Source organism: Homo sapiens, chromosome 9 (genome assembly GCF_000001405.40).
Source record: "Homo sapiens chromosome 9, GRCh38.p14 Primary Assembly".
Taxonomy (NCBI): domain Eukaryota; kingdom Metazoa; phylum Chordata; class Mammalia; order Primates; family Hominidae; genus Homo; species Homo sapiens.
Genome location: NC_000009.12, coordinates 31,271,144 through 31,297,220, shown reverse-complemented (window position 1 = coordinate 31,297,220; position 26,077 = coordinate 31,271,144). Strand labels below are relative to the sequence as shown.

Below are 26,077 nucleotides of genomic sequence, written 5' to 3'. Positions count from 1 at the left end.
TATTTGATTCTTCTCTCTTTTCTTCTTTATTAGTCTTGCTAGCAGTCTATCAATTTTGTTGATCTTTTCAAAAAACCAGCTCCTGGATTCATTAATTTTTTGAAGGGTTTTTTGTGTCTCTATTTCCTTCAGTTCTGCTCTGATTTTAGTTATTTCTTGCCTTCTGCTAGCTTTTGAATGTGTTTGCTCTTGCTTTTCTAGTTCTTTTAATTGTGATGTTAGGATGTCAATTTTGGATCTTTCCTGCTTTCTCTTGTGGGCATTTAGTGCTATAAATTTCCCTCTACACACTGCTTTGAATGCGTCCCAGAGATTCTGGTATGTTGTGTCTTTGTTCTCGTTGGTTTCAAAGAACATCTTTATTTCTGCCTTCATTTCGTTATGTACCCAGTAGTCATTCAGGAGCAGGTTGTTCAGTTTCCATGTAGTTGAGCGGTTTTGAGTGAGATTCTTAATCCTGAGTTCTAGTTTGATTGCACTGTGGTCTGAGGGATAGTTTGTTATAATCTCTGTTCTTTTACATTTGCTGAGGAGAGCTTTACTTCCAAGTATGTGGTCAATTTTGGAATAGGTGTGGTGTGGTGGTGAAAAAAATGTATATTCTGTTGATTTGGGGTGGAGAGTTCTGTAGATGTCTATTAGGTCCGCTTGGTGCAGAGCTGAGTTCAATTCCTGGGTATCCTTGTTGACTTTCTGTCTCGTTGATCTGTCTAATGTTGACAGTGGGGTGTTAAAGTCTCCCATTATTAATGTGTGGGGGTCTAAGTCTCTTTGTAGGTCACTCAGGACTTGCTTTATGAATCTGGGTGCTCCTGTATTGGGTGCATATATATTTAGGATAGTTAGCTCTTCTTGTTGAATTGATCCCTTTACCATTATGTAATGGCCTTCTTTGTCTCTTTTGTTCTTTGTTGGTTTAAAGTCTGTTTTATCAGAGACTAGGATTGCAACCCCTGCCTTTTTTTGTTTTCCATTTGCTTGGTAGATCTTCCTTCATCCTTTTATTTTGAGCCTATGTGTGTCTCTGCATGTGAGATGGGTTTCCTGAATACAGCACACTGATGGGTCTTGACTCTTTATCCAGTTTGCCAGTCTGTGTGTTTTAATTGGAGCATTTAGTCCATTTACATTTAAAGTTAATATTGTTATGTGTGAATTTGATCCTGTCATTATGATGTTAGCTGGTGATTTTGCTCGTTAGTTGATGCAGTTTCTTCCTAGTCTCGATGGTCTTTACATTTTGGCATGATTTTGCAGCGGCTGGTACTGGTTGTTCCTTTCCATGTGTAGTGCTTCCTTCAGGAGCTCTTTTAGGGCAGGCCTGGTGGTGACAAAATCTTTCAGCATTTGCTTGTCTGTAAAGTATTTTATTTCTCCTTCACTTATGAAGCTTAGTTTGGCTGGATATGAAATTCTGGGTTGAAAATTCTTTTCTTTAAGAATGTTGAATATTGGCCCCCACTCTCTTCTGGCTTGTAGTGTTTCTGCTGAGAGATCCGCTGTTAGTCTGATGGGCTTCCCTTTGTGGGTAACCCGACCTTTCTCTCTGGCTGCCCTTAACATTTTTTCCTTCATTTCAACGTTGGTGAATCTGACAATTATGTGTCTTGGAGTTGCTCTTCTCGAGGAGTATCTTTGTGGCGTTCTCTGTATTTCCTGAATCTGAACGTTGGCCTGCCTTGCTAGATTGGGGAAGTTCTCCTGGATAATATCCTGCAGAGTGTTTTCCAACTTGGTTCCATTCTCCCCATCACTTTCAGGTACACCAATCACACATAGATTTGGTCTTTTCACATAGTCCCATATTTCTTGGAGGCTTTGCTCATTTCTTTTCATTCTTTTTTCTCTAAACTTCCCGTCTCGATTCATTTTATTCATTTCATCTTCCATTGCTGATACCCTTTCTTCCAGTTGATCGCATCGGCTCCTGAGGCTTCTGCATTCTTCAGGTAGTTCTCGAGCCTTGGTTTTCAGCTCCATCAGCTCCTTTAAGCACTTCTCTGTATTGGTTATTCTAGTTATACATTCTTCTAAAGTTTTTTCAAAGTTTTCAACTTCTTTGCCTTTGGTTTGAATGTCCTCCCGTAGCTCAGAGTAATTTGATCGTCTGAAGTCTTCTTCTCTCAGCTCGTCAAAGTCATTCTCCATCCAGCTTTGTTCCACTGCTGGTGAGGAATTGCGTTCCTTTGGAGGAGGAGAGGCGCTCTGTGTTTTAGAGTTTCCAGTTTTTCTGTTCTGTTTTTTCCCCATCTTTGTGGTTTTATGTACTTTTGGTCTTTGATGATGGTGATGTACAGATGGGTTTTTGGTGTGGATGTCCTTTCTGTTTGTTAGTTTTCCTTCTAACAGACAGCACCCTCAGCTGCAGGTCTTTTGAAATACCCTGCTGTGTGAGGTGTCAGTGTGCCCCTGCTGGGGGGTGCCTCTCAGTTAGCTGCTCGGGGGTCAGGGGTCAGGGACCCACTTGAGGAAGCAGTCTGCCCATTCTCAGATCTCCAGCTGTGTGCTGGGAGAACCACAGCTCTCTTCAAAGCTGTCAGACAGGGACATTTAAGTCTGCAGAGGTTACTGCTGTCTTTTTGTTTGTCTGTGCCCTGCCCCCAGAGGTGGAGCCTACAGAGGCAGGCAGGCCTCCTTGAGCTGTGGTGGGCTCCACCCAGTTCGAGCTTCCTGGCTGCTTTGTTTACCTAAGCAAGCCTGGGCAATGGCGGGCGCCCCTCCCCCAGCCTCGCTGCCGCCTTGCAGTTTGATCTCAGACTGCTGTGCTAGCAATCAGCGAGACTCCGTGGGCGTAGGACCCTCCGAGCCAGGTGCGGGATATAATCTCTTGGTGCGCCGTTTTTTAAGCTGGTCCGAAAAGCGCAATATTCGGGTGGGAGTGACCCGATTTTCCAGGTGCGTCCTTCACCCCTTTCTTTGACTCGGAAAGGGAACTCCCTGACCCCTTGTGCTTCCCAAGTGAGGCAATGCCTCGCCCTGCTTGGGCTCGCACACGGTGCGTGCACCCACTGACCTGCGCCCACTGTCTGGCACTCCCTAGTGAGATGAACCTGGTACCTCAGATGGAAATGCAGAAATCACCCGTCTTCTGCGTCGCTCACGCTGGGAGCTGTAGACTGGAGCTGTTCCTATTTGGCCATCTTGGCTCCTCCCCCAACTTTTTTTCAATGTTAGATGTTTTAAATTACTGATTCAATTTTAGAAGAGGTTATTGGTTTATTCAGGTTTTCATTATCATCCTAGATCGTTGTTGAAAGATTGCATGTTTCCAGGAATGTATCAATTTCCTCTAGATTTTCTTCCTTGTGTGCATAGAAGTGGTCATAATTGTCTCTGAGGATCTTTTGTATTTCTGTGGGAAGAATCATAATGTCATCTTTTTCATGTTTGATTGTACTTATTTGGATCTTCCCTTTTTTCTTTGTTAATCTAATGAGTTGGTTATTAATCTTTGTTTATTCTTTTGAAGAACCAACTCTTGGTTTCACTGATCTTTGGCATAGATTTATTTTGTCAGTATTTTGGTCAGCTCTTCTCTGATTTTATCTATTTCTTTTCTTCTCAGTTTTGGAATTGGTTTATTTGTTTGTTTCTAGTTTCTTTAGGTGTGATGTTATATTGTTAATTGGCAATCTTTATAACTTCTTGATGAAGATGTTGAGAGCTATAAATTTTTACCTAAATACTTCTTTAGCTGCATCCCAAACATTTTGGAGAATTGTGTCTATATTTTCATTAATTTCAAATTTTTTTTATTTCTGCCTTAATTTTCTTGTTCACCCAAGAGTTATTCAGGAGCAGTTTGTTTAATTTCTATGTATTTGCATTGTTTGGAAAGATGTATTGGTTTCTACTCTTTTTTTTTTTTTTTTTTTTTTTGCACTGTGGTGCAAAAATGTGCCTGATATGATTTCACCTTTTTTGAATTTATTGAGACTTTCTATAACTGAGCATGTGATTGATATTAAAACATATTCCTTGTGCAGATGAGAAGAATGTTTATTTTGTGGTTATTGGGTTGAGTATTCTGTAGATGTCTGTTAGGTCAGATTGGCCAAGTGTTGAGTTTAAGTCCAGAATTTCTTCATTAGTTTTTTGCCTTGATAATCTGTCTAAAGCTGTCAGTGGGGTTTTGAAGTCTCCCACAATTATTGTGTAGCTGTTTTAGTTATTTTGCTTTTTCTTAACCTAATCTCAAATGTAATAGTAGCTGTCTAAGTTTTCGTAAGGTAAAGAACTTGATTTATGAATCTGGGTGCTCCAAGGTTGGGTGCATATAGTATAAGGTTAGTTAAGTATTCTTGTTGAATTGAACCCTGTATTTATTATGTAATGCCCTTCTTATTTTTCTTGATTGTTTTTGGTTTAAAGCCTCTTTTATCTCATAGCAACTGCAACTCCTGCTCTTTTCTGTTTTCCATTTGCATGATAGATCCTTTTTCTTTGTGTGGGTGGGTGTCAGTACACGTGAGATGGGTCTTTTAAAGATGGCAGACAGTTGGCTCTTATCTTTTTATCCAACATGCCACTCTGTGCCTTTTAGGTGGGGCTTTTATACTGTTTACATTCACAGTTAGTATTGATATGTGACATTTTGAACGTGTCATCATCTTGTTAGCTGGTTGTTTTGCAGACTTGATTGTGTAGTTGCTTCATAGTGTCTGTGGACTATGTGTTTATGTGTGCTTTTGTGGTAGAAGTTATTGTTGTTTTATGTCCATGTTTAAGGCTGGTCTAGTGGTAAGGAATTCCATTAGCATTTGTTTGTTTGAAAATAATTTGATCTCTCCTTCACTTATGAAGCTTAGTTTGGTGGGATACAAAATTCTTGGTTGGAATATATTTTCTTTAAGGTTGCTGAAAATGGGCCTTCAATGTTTTCTGGCTTGTATAGTTTCTGCTGGGAGGTCCACTGTTAGCCTGATAGGGTTCCCTTTGTAAGTGACCTACCCTTTCACTCTAGCTGCCTTTAGATTTTTTTTCTTTGCATTGACCTATGTGTAGCTGATGACTATGTGCCTTACAGATGGTCACCTGCTATGGTATCATCTCACAGTGGTTTTCTGTATTTGTTGAATTTGCATGTCAACCTCTAGTGATATTGGGAAAATCTTCATGGACTGTATCCTCAAATATATTTTCTTAGTTGCTTATTCTCTGTCTTTCTCAAGAATGCCAATGAGTCATAGGTTTATTCTCTTTACATAATCCCATATTTTTGGATGTTTTGTTTATTTTTTAAAATTCTTCTTAAAATTTTTGTCTCACTAAATTGACCCAAAAAACTGGTCTTTGAGCTTGGATATTCTTTCCTCAGGATGGTCTATTCTGCTATTAATACATCCAATTTCAGTAAAATAAAATTCTTATAGTGAATTTTTCCATGCCAGAAATTATTCTGTTCTTTCTTAAAATGGCTATTTTATCTTTCAGATCTTGAATTATTTTACTGGATTCCTTGTATTGGGTTTCAACATTCTGAATCTCAATGAGCTTCCTTGCCATTCAGATTCTAAATTCTCTGTCTGTAATTTTAACCATTTCAATCTGGTTTGAAACCATTGTTGGGGAGCTAGTGTGCTTGTTTGAAGGTAAGGGAACAGTCTGACTTTCTGAATTTCTAGATTTCTTGTGCTGATTTTCTGATATGAGAGGTTTAGTGTTCCTTTAACTGGGGTGTAAATTGAGTACAGTCAATTGGCTTTTATTTCTGGGTGTTTTGAGAGGGTCATGACTTTGTACAGGATCTTTGTGGTGGCTACATTCTTGTCGTGGGTTTCACAGGTGATGTATATTGGCAAAATACTTTTGTGTTATAATTTGGACTGAGAGCCAGGAGATAAACTGTTAGGTGGTGCCTTAGAGTAATGGCTAGCAGATGCGCCCTTACTCAGCCACATAGCTCTTTTGTATTTTAGCACATTTGCAGCAGTGCTCTGTGGTGATAGAGGAGAGAGAGAGAATTCTCTCACTAGGTCCCTTCATGGGCCTTGGAGAGCCACCCCTGATCACTGGCGCTACACCCACATTTTCTTTGTTATGGGTTTTGGGCCATGGAACTCCCTCTGGCAGAGGCTACGGCTGGCATACAGGCCACACTCTTCCTAGACCAGCCCTGTACAGGAAGGTCCACAAGCTCACTAGCTCCTGCACTGGCCCATAAGTCCACCTGTGTCACCCCTCTCGGTGTTCTGAGAGTCGGGGCTCCTCCTCTGATCAACTTCTAGCCACAGATCTCTGCTCAGCACTCCTGAACTGCAAGTTGCTGCCCTGGGGCATTGGGACCCACCAGTGGCTTCATCCTCCAGCTCCTTGGGGTTGTGTACCAGTTGCACTGGGGATTGGATGTGTTCCCAGGCCACCGGGAAGTACTTAGGTGGGGCTCCCAGAAAGCACCAAGGCTGGACAATGGGGGCTGCAGTCTGTACACATTCCTGCAGGAGTGGCCAGGAAGGGACCCTAGGAGAGGCTAGCCAGCAGGAGAGCCTGCAGAACAGATATGCCCCAGTTCTTTTTGAAAGTCAACCCTGTTCTCTCTTGGTTTTGTGGTCAGTTTGGGTTAGAGCAACTCGGGGGAAGATGAGGAGCCTTGGGGAATAGGCACCTATGGCAGCATTCCACGGCAGCTGTCCTGCATGCAAAACCCCATGGGATCCATACAGGTTGGAGCTCTGTCTGCCTATTGTCTGAGCAGATATACCTGCTATTTCAACTGTGTATGAGGCTCATGGGATCTCTTGTAGCTAGGATCCAAGAGGTCTGCCACTAGAGTGGTCTGCCCCACCATCCTTTCACTCACCCCTTCCCTGGGAGCCCTTCAGTGGCCGGAATAAGCCTTGTCATTCAGCAACCCTGTGCAAACTTCCTAGCTTTCCCTCTTTTTCCTGGATGTCTGTGTCACCTCTCTGTGTTTTCCCTCCAAGTTCTGTTTAGAGTAAGTCGATTTATTCCATGGTCTCTCTCAGTGGGAGCAGTGCTTCCTAGCTGTGTGTAGTTGGCCATCTTGTTTCTGAAAAATCAAGATGGTAAGTTTTATACTATGTGTTGTTGAACACAGTAAAAACAAAGCACATGTTTGAAAAGGAAGACAAAATAAATCAGTAAGGAAGTGATTTGGGGGAAACCAAGGCACCAAATTTCCTGATAAAACAAATTCAAGTACAACGAATGTTGTTAATAATAATAAACATTACTAACTACTAGATTCTATTGTCACTTCTTGTAATAGTAGCTTCAATATGCCAACATATAATGGAGAGCAACACACTCTAAAAATAAAAATATTATTGGAAAACAAGCAAAAAAATCTGTAAGATTATCAAAAGCAGATCAACACTGAAAGGAGTACAAAAGCTACTTTCCAGAATGAAGAAACTTTATTCTAATTATTCAGAATTTCAGGAAGAAATGAATAATAAGAAAAAGGCATATATGTGGGAAGATCTAAATTTAATATTAAATCCATAAGATAACATTATGATTATTGATTTTATAAAATAATCTTATGAATATTGACTATAAAATATGACTATATAAAATATAACTGTATGCAATTATGTTATGAATATTCACTTTATAAAACAATAATAATGTTATTAAAAATACTACATGCATCAGGATGAATAACTAGATATAAGTGAGGTAAGTTCATAAATTATATGGGAAGTATGAAAGTACTAATTAATATTATATAATAAAAAGTAAAAAAATTCATGATGAAGTTTTATAGGATAAGCATGAAAAGTTATTGCTAAGCTTTGTAGACCTGTGGGTTGATGTCTTTCTTTGCTTTAGAAATATCTATGGCTATTGTATCTTCAACAATTTCTTCTGCTTTATTCTGTCTCTTCTCCTTTTGGAACTCTAATTACACATATTATTAAGTGTTTGATATTTCACAGAACCTGTATGCCATTTCCCTTTCTTCTTTTTTTTTTCTAATTTGTGTTTTAGTTTGAATAATTGCTGTTGACTCATAATTTCTTTTGGTTATGAGTCCAGTCTGCTAAGTCAATAATTAATTTTTCATTTATGTTATCTCATTTTTTATTTCTCATGTTTCCATTAAAAAATTTCCATCTCTAGACTGAAAATTTCCATCTCTTAACCCATATTATCTGCCTTTCCCCCAAGTTCATCTAACCTATGTATTAGACTTAAATTCCCTCATTGACCCTTCAAACATCTGAGCCATTTATGAGTTTGTTTGTTTTCTGGTACCTCTCTTGTCAGTGAGTTCTAGTTTCTCACTTCTTCACGTCTCTTACTTTGTGACTGAATGGCAGACGTTGCATGACAAAAACATTGACTGAAATAAATAATTTTTTTTTCCCCCACAAAAAATACTTACGTCTTCTTTCAGGCCCGTGGTGTATTGGGAATAGGTGATTTGAGTCAGCTTCATCTTTCTTTCCACTGATCTGGACATTTCTGTTGCTTTATTTAGATTCAATTTGGTATCATCTTGGAATAATTTGAGGACAGGATTGCAAGCCTCCTTTTAGCATTTATGGAATCTAAGAGCATGGAGCTGTTGTACTGGTCTTCCTGCCCTGCTGTTAGCCTCCTAAAAGGACCAACAGACCTGCACCAAATGGATATACTGTATATAAATTATTTTCCGTTCCCCACTATCAGGCAACTGCTGCTTCATGGTCAGTTTAGGAGCCTGATTTCTTCTATGGCTTCTCTACCTCTTTCTGTTGAGATTTGGACTTCAGCACACCCTGCATTCCTGTACATGGGGACAGAAAAGAGGAAAGTCTCCTGGGATATGTTTGTGTGTTTGTTTTTTAACCTATCATATTATTTCTTGCTTTCTGTTTGTCTTGCCTGTTCTGTTACATTTTTTCTCTTCTTTTTTTTTGACTTGATTGGTGTTATTTTTAATTCAGTTTATTACCATCTATTAGCTTAATAGTTATACATTATCAACTTTTATTTTAGTAAATTTTCTATAAATTTTGTCATAGATCCCTTACATCTTGATGTCTAATATTAATTAGAACTTTAATCATTTCCCACACAATTCATAATCCTTAGGACAATTAAATCCACTTTCCCTTTTTGTGACTTTTATAGTGTTGTCTTATCAATATAAGTATTGCTATTTATAGATTCATTACATACACCATATGGTTTTTTAAACAGTTGAAACATTTAGACATTCTATATTCATAACATCACTGTTTTATACAGTCTATTTTCATAATAAAATTATTATCATTGTTGTTTTACAGTTATATTGTTTACATTCAGATTTATTCACGTATTTGTCCTTTATTTGCTTATTTTCTGAAACTCCAAATGCCATTTTCTTTATCCTGAAGAATATATTTGAATATGTTTTTAATGTTCTGTCTGCTTTTGACAATTGCACAGATTTTCTTTTGTTTCCTCTGATAATGTATGTATTTCACTTTTTTTAAGTATGTGTACTTTAACTTCTGGGATAAATGTGCAGAATGTGCAGGTTAGTTTCATAGATATACATGTGCCATGGTAGTTTGCTGCACCCATCAACCCATCATCTATATTAGGTATTTCTCCTAATGCTATCCCTCCCCTAGATCCCCACCTCCTGACAGGCCCCAGTGTGTGATGTTCCCCTCCCTGCGTCCATGTGTTCTTATCGTTCAACTCTCACTTATGAGGGAGAACCTGTGGTGTTTGGTTTTCTGTTCCTGTGCTAGTTTGCTGAGAATGATGGTTTCCAGCTTCGTCCATATCCCTGCAAAGCACATGAACTCATCCTTTTTTATGGTTGCATAGTATTCCCTGGTATATATGTGCCACATTTTCTTTATCCAGCCTATCATTGATGGTCATTTGGGTTGGTTCCAAGTCTTTGCTATTGTGAATAGTGCTGCAATAAACATTCTACTATGAAGACACATACACATGTATTTCACTTTTTATTTTGTAGGTTTATGTCTATTTTTTATATTTTATACTCCAATTCACTAATTATTACCTCAGCTTTGTATAATCTGCTGTTAAAACCATCAATAAAATTCCTAAATTCAGTTATTACATGTTTTGTTTCTCTAATTTACATATTGCTAGTTAATAGTTCCCATTGTTTATTGAAATTCTTTATCTTCTATCTTATTTGAAAATATTAAATATGGGAGGTTTTTGTTTTGTTTTTGCTTATGTCTGATAACATCATTATCTGGATCTTCTCTAGCTCCATTTCTAATGTCTTCGGTTTTTGTTGGATTTTGTTCATATTGTTGCCTTTTGTACCTGTTTTTGACTGGTTGTTTTTGATATATATGGCAGACATTGTATATTAAAAATTATAGAATAACTTAAAAGATCTGGATAATTTTTCCATCTTCAGATGAGTAATTGTTTTGTTTACAATTTGCGAGAAACTAGGCCAGAGAAAATATTTTCATGTCATTTTTATTTTATTAGAAGTTTTCTTCAGGTCACCTGAGGGCTTAGAATTTTTCAGTTGACTCTTGTTCCTAGAGTTTCTTTCCTCAGGGAAACAATGCAAAACCTGGAAGTTTTACCTGAAATACCACTTCTTAGTGGGACTTGAAATTTAATTTTATCCATATGAGTTTATAAATCAAAAGTTTCACTTAGGTTTTTTAATGTCTTATCAGTCTCTTCTGGAATCTATATGTGGCTTCATAGAGTGACTCCAAATGTTAGAATCATCCTTTTGAGTTGTCCTTTCACATCATTTCCCTAGAACTCTAAATTCCCTTGATATTCTATGACTCATTCAATATTTATTTTGATTAAAAATATCTTGTATGGTTTTATTCTCAAATCTCAGCATGAGAATGGGTAAAAATGACTGACAGAACTGTAACAGTCCCTCCATTGCATTTGAAACTTTTTATTTTATTTTATTTTATTTAACCTTTTTTGAGATGGAGTCCATCTCTGTTGCCAGGCTGGAGTGCAGTGGCGCGATCTCGGCTCACTGCAATCTCCACCTCCTGGGTTCAAGCGATTCTCCTGCCTCAGCCTCCCGAGTAGCGGGGACTACAGGTGCCCGCCACCACACCCAGTTAATTTTTGTATTTTTAGTAGAGATGAGGTTTTACTATGTTGGCCAGGCTGATCTCGAACTCCTGACCTTGTGATCTGCCTGCCTCGGCCTCCCAACGTGCTGGATTACAGGCATGAGCCACTGCACCTGGCCCATTGGAAACTTTTGAGCATAGAGTTCCATGATTAAATTTATGCTTTAAAGGGATAAATATATTGTTCTTTATTGAAAATATACTTCATTGAGAAAAATATTATATATATATATATTTATATGCACATAACTAGAGATTGAGGTAATTTTATACTCAACATCACTATTTCAAATTTTAACTTGCTGTTGTACTAAAATAAGAAACTGATAAATTCTCTAAGGTTCAGTTTTGTCATCTATAAAAAAGGAAACTAATATTAGATTAACTATGTTCAAAGTCATATTTCTTTATATATGTATATTCTTATCTCAGAATTTAAAATGTTTTCATAAATATTAAATTAGTAATTCTGATATTTAAAATGTTCAAATCAGTGAGGAAATTAATATTTTATAACATTCTAAATTACCTCTTGCAGAATATATAATAGCTTTAATTTTATTATTTGGGAAAGTTAGAAAACGAGTGTTCTGAGAATTCATGATAACTCATATTTCATTCACTTCTTAATGTTCTAGAGGTTATGAATAAATAATCATGAATCTTCATATATACAAATAAAAATAATTTTGTAATTGGCTCAATTCCTTCAATTCACAATAAAGTCAAACCAATTTTGTCAATGAAGCAAAGTGGAATATTTGTCTTAGTTTTATTATAATGTATAATGGTAGATTTGGTGGGGGAGGTTGATTTAAGAGACAGGAGCAGTTGAGGTAATGGGGTAATGGTGATTTAGGAATATATTTAGACGTGGGACTAAACACCGTACTAAATTAAATAAGGAATAAATCCACATGTATTTTGTATAAATCACCAGTGTGGGATATTTTATAGTATTGGCAGTGGCGTATAACATCATAGCACTCTAGACTAGTGAAAATTAATAGTCATTGTTAGACGAAGGTGACAAATTATGTAGTCAGCCTCACTGATCCAGAAGAATAGTATAAGAATCAAATATTATTACAGACTTTATCATATAGTTAACATAAGAGGTAATTTTCTGCAATTTTTCAGAAACTTCTGTTGTTGTCTGACGTAAAAAATTTTGAATTGCCAATATGCAAAGAGAAACTATATAGACATTATATGTGATACAAAAGAATTGTGCATTATTTGAGATATTCTACATGGCCTTTCACACACAAATTCCTAAACATCCAACAGATGTCAAAATGATTTTCCATAGTTATTGGGGAAATAATAGCAAAATGTAATAAATATGAGTATAGTTTTACCAGATGATTTATCTAACTAGTAAATATTTATTTCATACATAATGAAGGAAAGAAACGATAAGATTGAGTATTGGTTACTTTTCAATTTTATTCATAATAGCTTTACAATGGAATTTAAACCTCTTTAAAAAATTCTCCAGGCGTTTTAGACTATATTGTACTACTGGGAAATTTCAGCAATGTAAACATCTGGCAGTTAGAATATACAGGCAGATAGAGCATCAATTTTAATTGGTGTCTCAATGAACATCTTCTCAAGTAAATATTGAGATACTGAGATAAATTTAAACCATGTTGATTAGGAAAAATCCTCAGGAAATTCTGACATTAAATCATTTGTAATTATGTAAAAACAAAGAAACAGAAATTAACTTAATTGCTAAATATACATCAGTATGTCAGATACAGTGGATCATTAATACTTTGATATTTAACATTCACGTAATGTTTGCAAATATCTATAAAGCTATGTGACAGCTTGATACATAGTGCTGTCTCTATCTTTCTCCCTCTGTCTCTCATTTTCACCTAAATATTAAATCATCTGCATAACTAGAGTTTTAGTTATTTTATTTTTTTATAGAAATTAGGTCTTTCTCTGTCACCCTAGCTGGAGTGTAGTCGTGTGATCATAAGTCACTTTAACGTTGAACTCCTGTGCTTAAGTGTCATTCTGCTTTGGGCTTCCAAAGTGCTGAGATTACAACCATGAACCACCCTGCCTGCCCAGAGTGACTAGAATTTTGTGTAGAAGTAATTTACTTATTATGACGACTTAGTTAACACATAATATCCAACTAATCAAATCAACCGTGCCCTTAAAATCCTTTCTATGATATGATATAAAAGAAAATAACTTTATCCATAAAATATAGACCCAAAAAGGAATCTGTATTAGTTTTCTTGGGTTGCCATAACAAAATACCATAGACAGAGTGTCTTAAATAGCAAACACGTATCTTCTCACAGATGTGAAGATTAGAAGTCAAAGATCATGGTGACATTAGGGTTGGTCTCTGGTGAGTCTTCTCTCTTCAGCTAGTAGATGGCAACTTCTCCCTATGTTTATACACAGCCTCTACTCTGTGGGTGTGTGGAAAGAGAGAAATCTCTGGGGTCTTCCTCTTTTTATAAGGACACTGTCCTTATTGAATTAGTGCCCTCTCCTTATGATCTCAGTTAACCTTAATGTCCTCCTTAAAAGCCCCTTTCTCCAAATACAGTCACATTAAGGGTTTGGGCTTTAACCAATGAATTTAAGGAAGACAAAATTATGTCCATAACAGAACCCAACATTCAGCTGTGATTAAAAAAAAAAGTCACAGAAAAATAAAAAAACAAAAAAAAGTCACAGAAAAATAAAAAAAACAAAAAAAAAGTCATGTGTCATTGTGAAAAATTGACCATTTTTATTAAATGAACTATAATTGTTATAATAAAAACATAAAGCAATTTTGTTTTCCTAATCTCCCATAGTTTCTTCAAATCCTCTTTCAATGTTATTTGTTCCCCGCTGTATAAAACACAGGCACATTACAAAGCTTTCTCAATAATACATTACTTTAGTCAAAAGAACAGTCTCATTTAAGAAAGTAAGGTATCTAGCTTAAACAATAAAAATAATCACGTTTCTGAATTTTTTTAAGGCTAAAGCTTTGCCCCTGTTATAGTTCACCATTATTTCAGGTTTAAAAATCTGCACTTGGGTGTTGGGATTCTCTTTTTCTCTATCTAGTCTATTTTCTTTCATAAAAGTCTAAGAAATACATATTTCCAATAAGATTTCTAAAACTCATCTCAATTGGTTTAAGGTGAACAAGAAGTCCTCCTCCAAATTCCAATGTCCCCTATCCATCATCTTAGAACCTACCCCCTTTGACAATCATTAATTTTAATAATATATTCTTTTTAGTTTCCTTCTTATTGACTACTCCAACTGCTGACATGGCTTAAAGGTGATGATCATTAATGTTGGAAGAAATCTTAATATTTCAGAATATCTCATTTAGCCTTGGAACTTACTTAAAGATGTAATGGTATCTGACCCCAATATATTTTTGTTGGCCCTTATGACGCATTTTATCCTAGTGATACATGTACATTTTTGATAAATTTACATGTGAAATAATGAAAATTATTTTTTCTTATGAGCTATGTACATTGGAAATGGCATGTTAGGGTGCAAAAGTTACTCTGAAATTTGTTTTATGTGCTAATCTGAGCCTTACTAATTTAGAAATTGGAAAAGTACTCATATGCCTTCCAGAAAATTTCAAGTTGTCTACTGTAATGCAATTTACTTTTTCTGTATAGAAAAATATTAGAATGTACAGTGAAGTTAAGGAACTTTAATTTCATCATCCTTATAACAAACAGCAATACCCTCAGTTTAGAAGGACACTAGATGTTGGAACCTAATCAGTATCATCCAAGGTACATTTATTTTTCTACCCATAAGGCTTTCTGGACCAAAATAAGCAAAAACCATAATGTAGCATATGGATTGCAAAAAGATAAAATTCTTCATCTAGTTCTAAGTCCACCAACCTTCTAATGCAATTTTGCATTTCCTCTCATTAAGAGACAAAATCTGTTTTTCCAATTCTTGAATTTGGGCTGACCTTGTAACTTACTTTTGCCAATATAATTTAAAGGACTTTATTATATTTTCATTCTGAATTTACCCCTTAAGAACATTTGCTTGTTTCATCCCTTTTTGGGAAACTTGTTACAACTAGCTTATGCTATACTGATGAATGATGAAAGAAGTGCTGCCCTGTAATTGCTGTTGCCATAGTAAACACACAGCCCACTACCGAACAGGTGTTAAGACCATCCTATACTTGCCAGCACCAACTGACCAGCCAGCTGATTACACAATTATGAGAAAGGTCAGTTGAAATCAATACAAATAAGAAGAACCATGTAGCTGACCAATAAGCTTTAAGATGATTTATTATGAAGCAACAGCTAAGTGATAACACATATCTGAACACTGGTTAAAACGTTTGTTTGTACACACACACAAGCATACACAGAGAAAAGGAGTAATTATATTTACACAGACATTAATTTCCTTTTGCAAATTTCTAAACAGGACTCAATAAAATAAATATCAACCAATAATTTTGACCACTTTTTAAATAGGCATAATTTTATATCTTATCAATATAGAGCAATAAGATATGCTAATTATTTGTTTCTTAGCAATCTGAGAGTCTATGTAGAACAGACATTTTTCAGTCCAAATGTCTAACACATAGTAAATCCTCACAATCTGTTTCTTTTAAAATAGATTTCATAATTTGTGAACAATAATAAAGGTTCAATTAAGTGATAGATATGGGTGGAGCTGATAAATAAATTTTAAGAAGGGAGGTGGAGAGACAGAAAGAGAGAAAAAGAGCAGCAATTATTGCACATTTAAAGTCAAGCCATTAGTACTTTTCACGAGGGGGAAGACTGGAAATGTACTAGAATTGTTCGGGTTGTCCCAGTGCCAGAGCCAGGGTGAAGCAAACTGTTATGAGGCAGGTGTTTACTACTGTCATTTTATATAGGCAGGGGCCAGAGATACCAAACTTCTTGTAATGCCTAGAATAATTCTATACAATAAAAATTGGGTCACCTATAATCCCCATAATACTTATATTGAAAAATCCTGAGCAGAAATTGGCTAAAAGAAAAGATATGTGTACATAAATATATTACATTTATTTTTGAATGGCTTTAATTAGACTTTTGGCTATTCATATGACACATAGAATTCAAAGAATCACATATGAACCTTCTTTTAGATCTCTTAATAAGTGGCTTAATAAAAAAGTTTTCATATGAAGAAGGCCCCCATGGAATATTACATCCTCATCTTTGCTTTAAGAACAATTTGAAATTAATATGATCACTCTTTACATGCGCTGACCTTGTCTTGAAAAATAAGATTTCTTAAACCAATTCACATCCACTTTTATGCTATGTCACTGAGAAAAATAGGATTATTTAACAATTGTATAAGCCAGGGTACCGAAACTATTGCATCTCAAATGTGACTGCATGAAGAGAAAGAAAGAAATTTCAGGGTAACGGATCGTCATAATTTAAAGTTGAGTGGTGATCAGTGATCTAGATATTCCATGCATATCAAAGTCTGTGGTTACTCTACTCCACAAGAGATCCACCGAATCCTCACAATGACCTTTTTGAAAAGTGAGTGACACAACACTTGATATTCACAATCAAACATTTAAAATTACACCAGAAGGATCTTTTGTAGGTGGGAATGTAATAGCCAGTGTATTTGTTAGTTAGGTCTCTTAGCTTAAGTTAGTCTCTTAGCTAAGTAGTGATTATTCTAAATTATTTAAATATTTCAATTCTGCAAAGTCTCTGAATCATATTAATGTTTTAAAATTCTGAGTCTTTGGAGTTGTGTTTGCCTTTAAATCATTTCCCTAATAATAATAATAATAATAATAATAATAATAATAATAACAATAATAATAACAGAGAACCCAATCAATTAAGTTGGAAAATTGGTGGGCAATGTTTTCCTATTAATAATAGGGAAATAATTAACATCAAGTTGACCAGCAACTTGTGATTAGTATCTTGTCTCTGTGTTTCTCATCTTTTTTGTTCTTAGTTATCTTTTTTTGGTACCAAAAAAACCAAAATAAAAACAAAATAGGGGCTCTATTATTGAACATTGCTTAATACATAGGCAACATGGCTTCATTAGGAAATTTTCTCATTTATCTTTTTCAGCAATTTTTGCTCTTATTATGATTACAAAATAGACTTAAGAGAGTGACATCAGCACAAGGGCAGAGTAGCCAACTTCAGAAAATATCTCTACCACAGAAGCATTGAAAACCAAACAGAAAGTATGAGAAGGAACTTTATTAGAACTCTGGAACACATTCAAAGCTTTGCAGCAACCAAGCAAACACTGAATTGAAAAAGGACAACATAAAAATGAAAATAAAGTTCTGTGACATTTTTACTTGATATTCTCCCAATTCCTCTCTGACTTGGTGATAGTCTTGAGAACAATAGCCCATGTTATCAGTGTGGATGTCTGATCCAGAGGAAATGTAGCAGATCTTATTTACAAATTATTGTGTGTGCTTATTCGAACCTGTCTTGATGCTGCCTGAACGACTGACAAAATGTGCTCATCTGTTTTGTGTAACTCAGAACCCAATCAATCAGGTTGGAAAACTGGTGGGCAATGTTTTGAAACATTTTATGGTGAATAAAAATCTCTCAGCCACTTGGGGTAAAAAATTACAGTTGAAACAAAATAGACGACCTAAAAACTGGGAGAAAAAGCAGGGGAGAGAATTCCTTTGGGAAGTTAAGACATTTAAAAGTGCCTGTAAATACTAGGAAATTTAGAAAGCCACATACATGCTCTGGACAGGACTCATGTTCAGAAAAGGTCTGAGGAGATACTCGGCTTCACTGTTGGCTGAAATGCTTGGAATTCATGGAAATCTCTGTCAAATCATTGGTTATCATGAGCTAAATGAAAAGGGACTTCAATAACCACAAATAATAAGAAATGCAGTCTTTATAAAAACAGTTTGGAAAACACACACACACACACACACACACACAAAGTTCAAGCACAGGAAATGTTAAGGAAAGGGAGAATCTGATTTCCAGAGTTCCTACATGATATTTTTCAAACATCTCTTTTCAAAAATAATTCAAATCATGTACACAAACAGTGGCATATGATTCCTTCGAAAAAAAGGAAATTAAGACTATTCCTGAGGAGACCCAGACACTGGATTTAATACACAAAGACTTTAAATCAATTGGCTTAAATATGCTCAACAGTTAAAGGAACCTAAAGGAAAACAGGAAGACAGTGTAAGAAGTGGTGGTTTATCAATTTTGTTTCTTATTAAAAAAACAACTTGTCACATTGTTTATCTTTTTGATTTTTTAGTCTCCATTTTATTTAGTGCTGCTCTGAACGTTATTATTTTTTCTTCTGTTTTGGGGTTTGCATTGTTCTTGGTTTTTTTTTTTCTTTAAGATTCATCATTAGTTTGTTTATTTGAAAACCACCTCCTTTTTTGATTAGGCATTTATTGCTATAAACTTTCTGCTTAGCACTGCTTTTGTTGTATCCCAGAGGTTTGAGTATGTTGTATTTCTATTTTCATTTGTTTCAAGATTTTTTGAAAGTTTTCTTCTTTCTTTCTTTCTTAGCCCAATGGTCATTCAGGAGCATATTTTTAAATTTCCATGTATTGCTACTGTTTCCAAAGTTCCACTTGTTTTTTATTTCTAGTTTTATTCCATTGTGGTTTGAGAAGATATTTGATATGACATCAATTTTTACAAATATGTTGAGACTTGTTTTTTGTCCTAACATATAGTTTATCCTTGAGTATCCATGTTCTGATGAGTAGAATGTATAATCTGTAGCTACTGGATGAAATGTTCATAAATGTCTGTTAGGTCCACTTAGTGTAAGGTGCAGTTTAAATATAATGATTCATTGCTAATTTTCTGTCTATATGATCTGTCTAATGCTGAGACTGGGGTGTTGAAGTTCCCAACTATTATTGGATTGAATTCTATCTCTTTTTTAAAATTAAATTAAATTAAATTTTTTTTAGAACTGTGGTCTCACTATGTTGCTGATGCTGGTCTCGAACTCCTGGGCTCAGGTGATCCTCCTGCCTCAGCCTTCCAAATATCTATTCTTTTACATCTGATAATATTTGCTTTATATATCTGGGTGCTCTGGTATTGGGTGCATGTATATTTAGAATTGTTATATCCTCTTGCTAAATTGATCCCCTTATTAATATAATATAATGATCTTCTTTGACTTTTAACTGTTGTTGACTTAACGTCAGTTTGTCTGATATAACTACCCCTGCTTACTTTTTTTTCAGCTTGTATGAAGTATTTTTTTCATACCTTTATGTTCAGTCTGTGTTTCTTTCCAAGTGAGATTTTTTTTGTAGGCAGCATATAGTTGGGCAATTTAAAAAATTTATTTAGTCACTATAGATATTTTAAGTGGAAAGTTTAATCCATTTACATGTAATTTATTATTAATATGTGAAGGCTTATTCCTGTAATTTATTAATTGATTATAGTTTTTTATGTTCTTTGTTCCTGTCTTTCTCTCTGATTATTATTATTGCAGTTTGATACCTTTCTGTAGTGGTAATATTGAAGTTTTTTCTCTTCTTCATTTGCATGTTTACTCTACCAGTGACTGTGTACTTTTATTTGTTTTCATGACAGTAGATATCATCCTTTTGCTTCCACTTGTAGAACTCCCTTAGGCATTTCTTGTAGAGTTAGTTTAGTGGTAACGAATTCCCCTAGCTTTTGCTTGTCTGGGAAAAATTTTATTTCTCCTTCGTTTATGAAGAATAACTTTTCTTTGTATAATCCTTGGCTGGCAGTTTTCCCCCCAGCATTTTAAATATTTAAATATTTTTAATATTAAATATTTAATATATAAATATAAATATATCATAGCATTCTCTCTTGGCCTGTAAGTTTTCTGCAAAGAAATCGTCATTTACTCTAATGGAGATTCCCTTAAATGTGAATATATATGTATATATATGTGTATATATATGCACACACACACATACATATACACAGAATATTATTATCATTAAAAGGGAATGAAATTCTGATATAGGCTGTGATATTGTATAATTTTATTTATATGAAATATGTAAATAGGAAAATATGTAAATATGTAAAATAGGAAAATTCATAGAGAGATACAGTAGATTAAATGTTACCAGAGGCTAGGAAAGGAAAAGGGGGAGTTATTGCTTAATGCATATGCAGTTTCTGTTTGAGGTAATAAAAAATTTTGGAAAAAGTGATGATGGTTATACAAAATATGTATTAATTAATGGCATGATATTGTGCACTTAAAGTGATTAAAATGGCATATATATATATATCTATATCTTTATAATGAAAACAAAAGAAAATAAAGTATACTTAAGAGTGAGAGAATTTTTTTTTTTTTTTTTTTTTTGAGACAGAGTCTCGTGCTGTCGCCCAGGCTGGAGTGCAGTGGTGCCATCTCTGCTCACTGCAACCTCTGCCTCCCAGGTTCAAGCGATTCTTCTGTCTCAGCCTCCAGAGTAACTGGGACTACAGGCACCCGCCAACACGCCCGGCTAGTTTTTGTATTTTTAGTAGAGAAAGAGTTCGAATAAAATTGATGTATTTACTAATTGACCTCAATACTATAAACTCCTCAGCCTTGAAATCAAAGCTTTCCATGTGTGGCTCAAATGTACCTCCTTAAGCACATGGCTTAATTTTACTTTACCCTAGACTTTCCTGAACTCACACTATTTCCTTTTCTGTCATATAAAACTATCCTGTCTTTATCTGCTGATAAATTTACCCATTCCTTAGAGACCACTTCAAATATACTTTTTGTGAATTGTACACGGACCTAGAAGCTTTTCCTCTAAATTCCCTTTAATTTAATTGTACTTTATGGAACTCATTCTATTTGTCTAATTCTATTAAATATTAAGCTTGTAAAAGATCTTCACTCAGCATACTTTTTATGGTCCAATCCAGAAACTTCATGTAAAAATTGCTGGGACTCTTACCCCGTAACTATGATGAATATTTAATCAAAGAAGATTTAAGCACTTTTTGATAAAAATTATATTAATCATGATTCCAGGAAACAACTTTGGGGAGTTCTTATGAATTCTCTCACGTGTTGAATGAACTACCATTTTAATTTCAAGGAAACCTCAGGTCTTCACTGGGCATATTTCTTCAACTCATGGGGAAAAAGGACAAAAATTTCTGCTCAGTTTCTGTAACTGTCAGAAAGTTGTCAGCTATAATATTTGCTCATTTAATCTTTAAATTTTATGAATCTAGCCTTTGTCAACAATGAAAAGCAGTTTACCTTCAGTCTTTTGTTAGAGACAAAAATGATCACTCTCACTTTAAAACCCCCTTAGGGTAAATGTTGTGGACACACCCACACATAAAAATAAAATTCTGAGCATTAACCTAACTGAACAGATCCCCTCTTGGCCAAGGAATCCCAGAGAAACTTTGGAATGAGTTCAATGCCATGCTTTCATAGTTCTGACACTCATTCCACCTCCTCCCTTACTGTCATTAGGCTTTCTTCCCTAAGGGCTAAAAAGAAATCAGCACTTTCAAAGGACTCCACACTGATCATGTTGATAATGTGGATTGCTAGTTTGTCTTCTCAGGTACTTAACAAAGACGAGATTAATCATTCCTTTGCTCCTCTCTAAGACACCTGTTTCTTCCCTTTTTCTTCAAATGTTCACTTTATCTTATTTAAAGTGTAGATTTACTGGGCACTGATTAACATCTCACAGGTGTGTAATAATTCCTCTCACTGCTGTTCCCCCACTCCCCACCTTTTTAAGGAAAATGTGCAATACCTAAACATCCTGAGAACCTCTTTGGGAAAACAAACAAACAAAACAAAACAAAACAAAAACCAACCCACAGATCCACCTGTGATTCTTGTTTTTTAAGGGTGTGCCCTCAAGCTGGCTCAATAAACCTTGAAATTTGAGACTTACATCTCAATCACTCAAATTCCTGGCTCTGAAAACTGAAGTTAGGCTAATGACTTTTTATCATCTATTTTATAATCAGGCTAGTTGTTTATTACCACTAGTATTGTATTTTTGTCCTCAATATATAGATATTTGGCCTCAACTTATTTGAGATATTAGTAATATAATATCTTTTCATAGTCTTACACTTATCTCTATGGCTATTTTTGCATTTTTCTTTTGTTCTAATACATTTTTAAATTATTTTTTGCACAAACAACAATACATAACAGAGTACATGAGCAGTTAGAAAAATATATACAAAATGAGTAAAATAAATAAAAGGCAGAACTCAATTTGTCCACAAATACTATTAATGTTATGTTTCCTCTCTCTAATATCCTTCATTGGAACTGAAGTATATGTGGCATTTCTAATTCATAGCTCCCTTTGCCTTAATAACCATTAGTCAAAGTAGTAATCTTAGTAATCTCACAGTGAGTGATTGAGTTGAGTTCTCTCAAAGAAGAATTAAACTGAAAGATTTTCAGTTTTTGTGTTTGTACAAAAACTTATTATTTTAAATTTTAAATTAACATCCTATTTATTATTTATAAGGCTTTTGAAACATCTTAACATACTGAAAGATAAGGTTCTTCCAATTGATTTAATTTCTACTTGAAAGGAGTTCTTTGAAATCTTATCTGCATTGGTGTCAATAGAGATAACTTTTAAGTTCCCATGACAAAATCCCGTGACTTCAAGGAATGTCATTGGAAAGCATTTTAAACTAGAAACAATATTTTCTGTTGTTTTATTCTTTTTAATGCTACCGTATCAGAATACAACATATTGGCTAATTTATAATGGAAATAAATCCATTTGACTCATGGTTCTGGAACTAGAAAGTCCAAGGTTGAGGGGTTACATCTAGTGAGTACCTTCTTGCTGCATCATCCCATGGCAGAAGGTAAAAGGCAAGAGAATGTGAGCAGTCAAAACAAAGAGGGGGCTAGACTTGCCTTCATAACAAATCCACTCTCATGATAACAAACCCTCTTCCACGGTAATAAACCCACTCTCAAGATGTCAACATTAATTTTTTTATAAGTGAAGAGCCCTCATGACCTAATCACCTCTTAAAGATCCCACTTTTCAAAACTGTTGCATTGGGAATAAAGTTGCCAACACTTAACTTTCGGGAGACACCTTATAGCATTCCATCCCCAAATAGATGTATTAATGTATATTTTTTCGTGAAAAAATTATTATTCCATCCCAACAGCCCCCAAATCTTAACTTGTCCCAGCACCAACTCAAAAGTCTAAATTTCAAATTCTCATCTAAATCATGTTTACGTGAGACACAAGGCATAATTCATCTGCGGCAAATTTCTCTTCAGCTGTATGCCTGCGAAAGTAAACAAATTACTTCTAAAATACAATGATGGAACAGGCATAGGAAAGACAATCACATCACAAAAGAGAGAAATAGGAAAGAAGAAAAGGGTGGCTGTTCCCAAGGAAGTCCAAAATCCAAGAGGAAAAACAATAGTAAGTGTTTAAAGCTGGAGAATAATTTCCTTTGGCTCCATATTCCAGGTTCCATGAACACTGGGGTGGGGGTTGGACCACTAAGGCTTCAGGCAGCCCTGCCCTTATGGTTTCATTGGGCTCAGTCTATCCAGTAGCTCTGGACGGCTGGAGTCTTATGTTTGCAGCTCTTCCAGGCTAGAGTTGTATGCTGGAGATCCTACAGTTTGGGGGTGCCAGGGGATCCCCCACTCCCATGGCCCTGCTAGGTATTAGCTGTGAGGACTCTGCAGTGGTAATTGTCATAAATAAAGTTTTGGTGCCACAAAAGAAATAGCACTCGAATATAAAATTTTCTTTTTAGTCCTCAGCAAGGCAAGTTACTTCTATAGAAGGGTGCCCCCTTACAGATGGAGCAATGGTGAGCACACACTTGGACAAGGGAGAAGGGGTTCTTATCCTTGATACATGTGGCCCTTGCTGCTGTGTCGTTCCCCTATTGGCTAGGGTTAGACCGCACAGGTTAAACTGATTCCCACTGGCTAATTTAAAGAGAGTGACAGGGTGAGTGGTTATGATAGAGCAGGTAATTGGAATGAGTCAGGGTGGAGCAGGTGATTGGAATGAGTCAGGGTGGAGCAGATGATTGGAATGAGTCAGGGTGGAGCAGGTGATTGGAATGAGTCAGGGTGGAGCTGGTGATTGAAATGAGTCAGGGTGGAGCAGGTAATCAAAAAAGGTTGCTTTATGAGGAAGTTAAATTTAAAAGTAGAAGGCAAAGAATTGAACATACTGATTCTTTGAAAAGAAATTTAGGACTCATATCTAACATCTTGCTCTTGTGATCCTGTGGGGCATTACTTTAGTGAGGCATCTCTATGATGGCTTCAACCCTGAGACAAGTCTCACCTGGGCCCCAAGGCTTCAAAAACATTCTTTGAAATCTAGGTGGAGACGACCATTAGCCCACAGCTCTTGCATTCTGTGTACTTGCAGAATTAGCACCATTATGACACTGCTAAGGTTTACAGATTGTACCTGCTAGACCAGTAGTCCAAGCCACACCTTCTGGAGTAGTGGTTTGAGACCTCTAGACCATAGCTTGAGTGACCAAGGAGTACTGCACCAGAATTCTAGGAGCAGAGTCCTAAGGCAGTGCAGGGCAGCAAATTCTAAGTTCCTGTGGACACCTCTCTGGAAACCTTGCCCTCAATGTTCTAGATTTACTGAAATGACTTCACGGTTATTCTTTCTTTGTTTTAATGAATAGGACCAAGCTATCTTTTATCCATTTTAATCTCCTTAGCAGTTCATTGGCCACACCCTTACTATTCTTTCCTGATCATGACTTTTTATTCTTTTTTTTTTTTTTTTTTCTTTGAGACAGAGTCTCACTCTGTCGCCCAGGCTGGAGTGCAGTGGTGCAATCTCGGCTCACTGCAAGCTCCGCCTCCCGGGTTCACGCCATTCTCCTGCCTCAGCCTCCCGAGTAGCTGGGACTACAGGCGCCCGCCACTATGCCGGGCTAATTTTTGTATTTTTAGTAGAGACGGGGTTTCACCGTGTTAGCTAGGATGGTCTCGATTTCCTGAGGCTTTTTATTCTTTACATGACCAGGCTGAGAGTTTTTCAAGGGTTTTGATTCTATTTCCCTTTTAATTACAAATTCTGTCTGCAAATCATCTATCTGTTTTCTCATTTTACTGTAAGCTGTCAAAAGAAGTTATGTGGAACCTCGAATACTTTGGTTCTTAGATATTTCTTCTGCCAGGTATCCTAATTCATCATTCTTACCTTCTGGCTTTCACAAAGCCCTAAGACATGGACACAATTCTGCCAAGTTCGCTGCAACTATGTAACTAGCATGGTCTTTATTTCACTTTACAAAATCTTTATCTTTATTTCCATCTAAGACATCATCGGAATGACATTTATTGTTTATATTTCTACCAACATTCTGATCACAACTACTCAAATAATCCCTAAGCAATTTCTGACTTTCTTTACATTCCGTTTCTTCTTCTGTGCCCTCACCAGTCATCCTTAATGCCCCATGCATTACAATCTAAGCTTTTTCTAGCCTGCTCCTCTAAATTCTTCCAGCCCCTACTCAGTACCCAGTTCTAAAGCTGCTTCCACATTTTCAGGTATTTGTTATAGCAATGACCAAATTTCTTGGTACCATTTTTCTGTTTTGGTCCATTTTATGCTTTGATAACAGAATACTGCAAGCTGGATAATTTCTAAGGAAAATAAAATTATTTGGCTTATAATTTTGGAGACTGGGAAGTCCAAAATTGAGAAACTGTGTCTTGTGAAGGCCTTCTTGCTGCATTATCCCATAATGGAAGGTGGAAGGATAAGAGAACACACGTGAGAAAAAGCAAGAGGAGGCCAACCTTGCCTTTATAAAAAGCTACTCACTCTCAGAATAAGAAACCCATTCCCATGACAATGACATTAATTTATTCAAAGGGCAACCCCCCCATTACCCAGGCACCTCTTTATAGATCCCGCCTCTCAACACTACTGCGTTGGAAATTAGGTTTCCAACACATGCTGTT

General features: G+C 35.9%; 3 annotated features.

The window, feature by feature from the left end:
- Window positions 2,316-2,824: an enhancer, noted in NCBI's record as "H3K27ac-H3K4me1 hESC enhancer chr9:31294395-31294903 (GRCh37/hg19 assembly coordinates)". NCBI's record gives its function as "activates a minimal SCP1, AML or CMV promoter by ChIP-STARR-seq in naive H9 embryonic stem cells {active_cell/tissue: H9 hESC(naive)}" and the evidence as "EXISTENCE:reporter gene assay evidence [ECO:0000049][PMID:30033119]".
- Window positions 21,475-22,408: an enhancer, noted in NCBI's record as "NANOG-H3K27ac hESC enhancer chr9:31274811-31275744 (GRCh37/hg19 assembly coordinates)". NCBI's record gives its function as "activates a minimal SCP1, AML or CMV promoter by ChIP-STARR-seq in naive H9 embryonic stem cells {active_cell/tissue: H9 hESC(naive)}" and the evidence as "EXISTENCE:reporter gene assay evidence [ECO:0000049][PMID:30033119]".
- Window positions 23,408-24,607: an enhancer, noted in NCBI's record as "BRD4-independent group 4 enhancer chr9:31272612-31273811 (GRCh37/hg19 assembly coordinates)". NCBI's record gives its function as "activates an origin of replication core promoter dependent on BRD2, P300/CBP, MED14 and CDK7 cofactors, and independent of BRD4, by STARR-seq in HCT116 cells {active_cell/tissue: HCT116}" and the evidence as "EXISTENCE:reporter gene assay evidence [ECO:0000049][PMID:35650434]".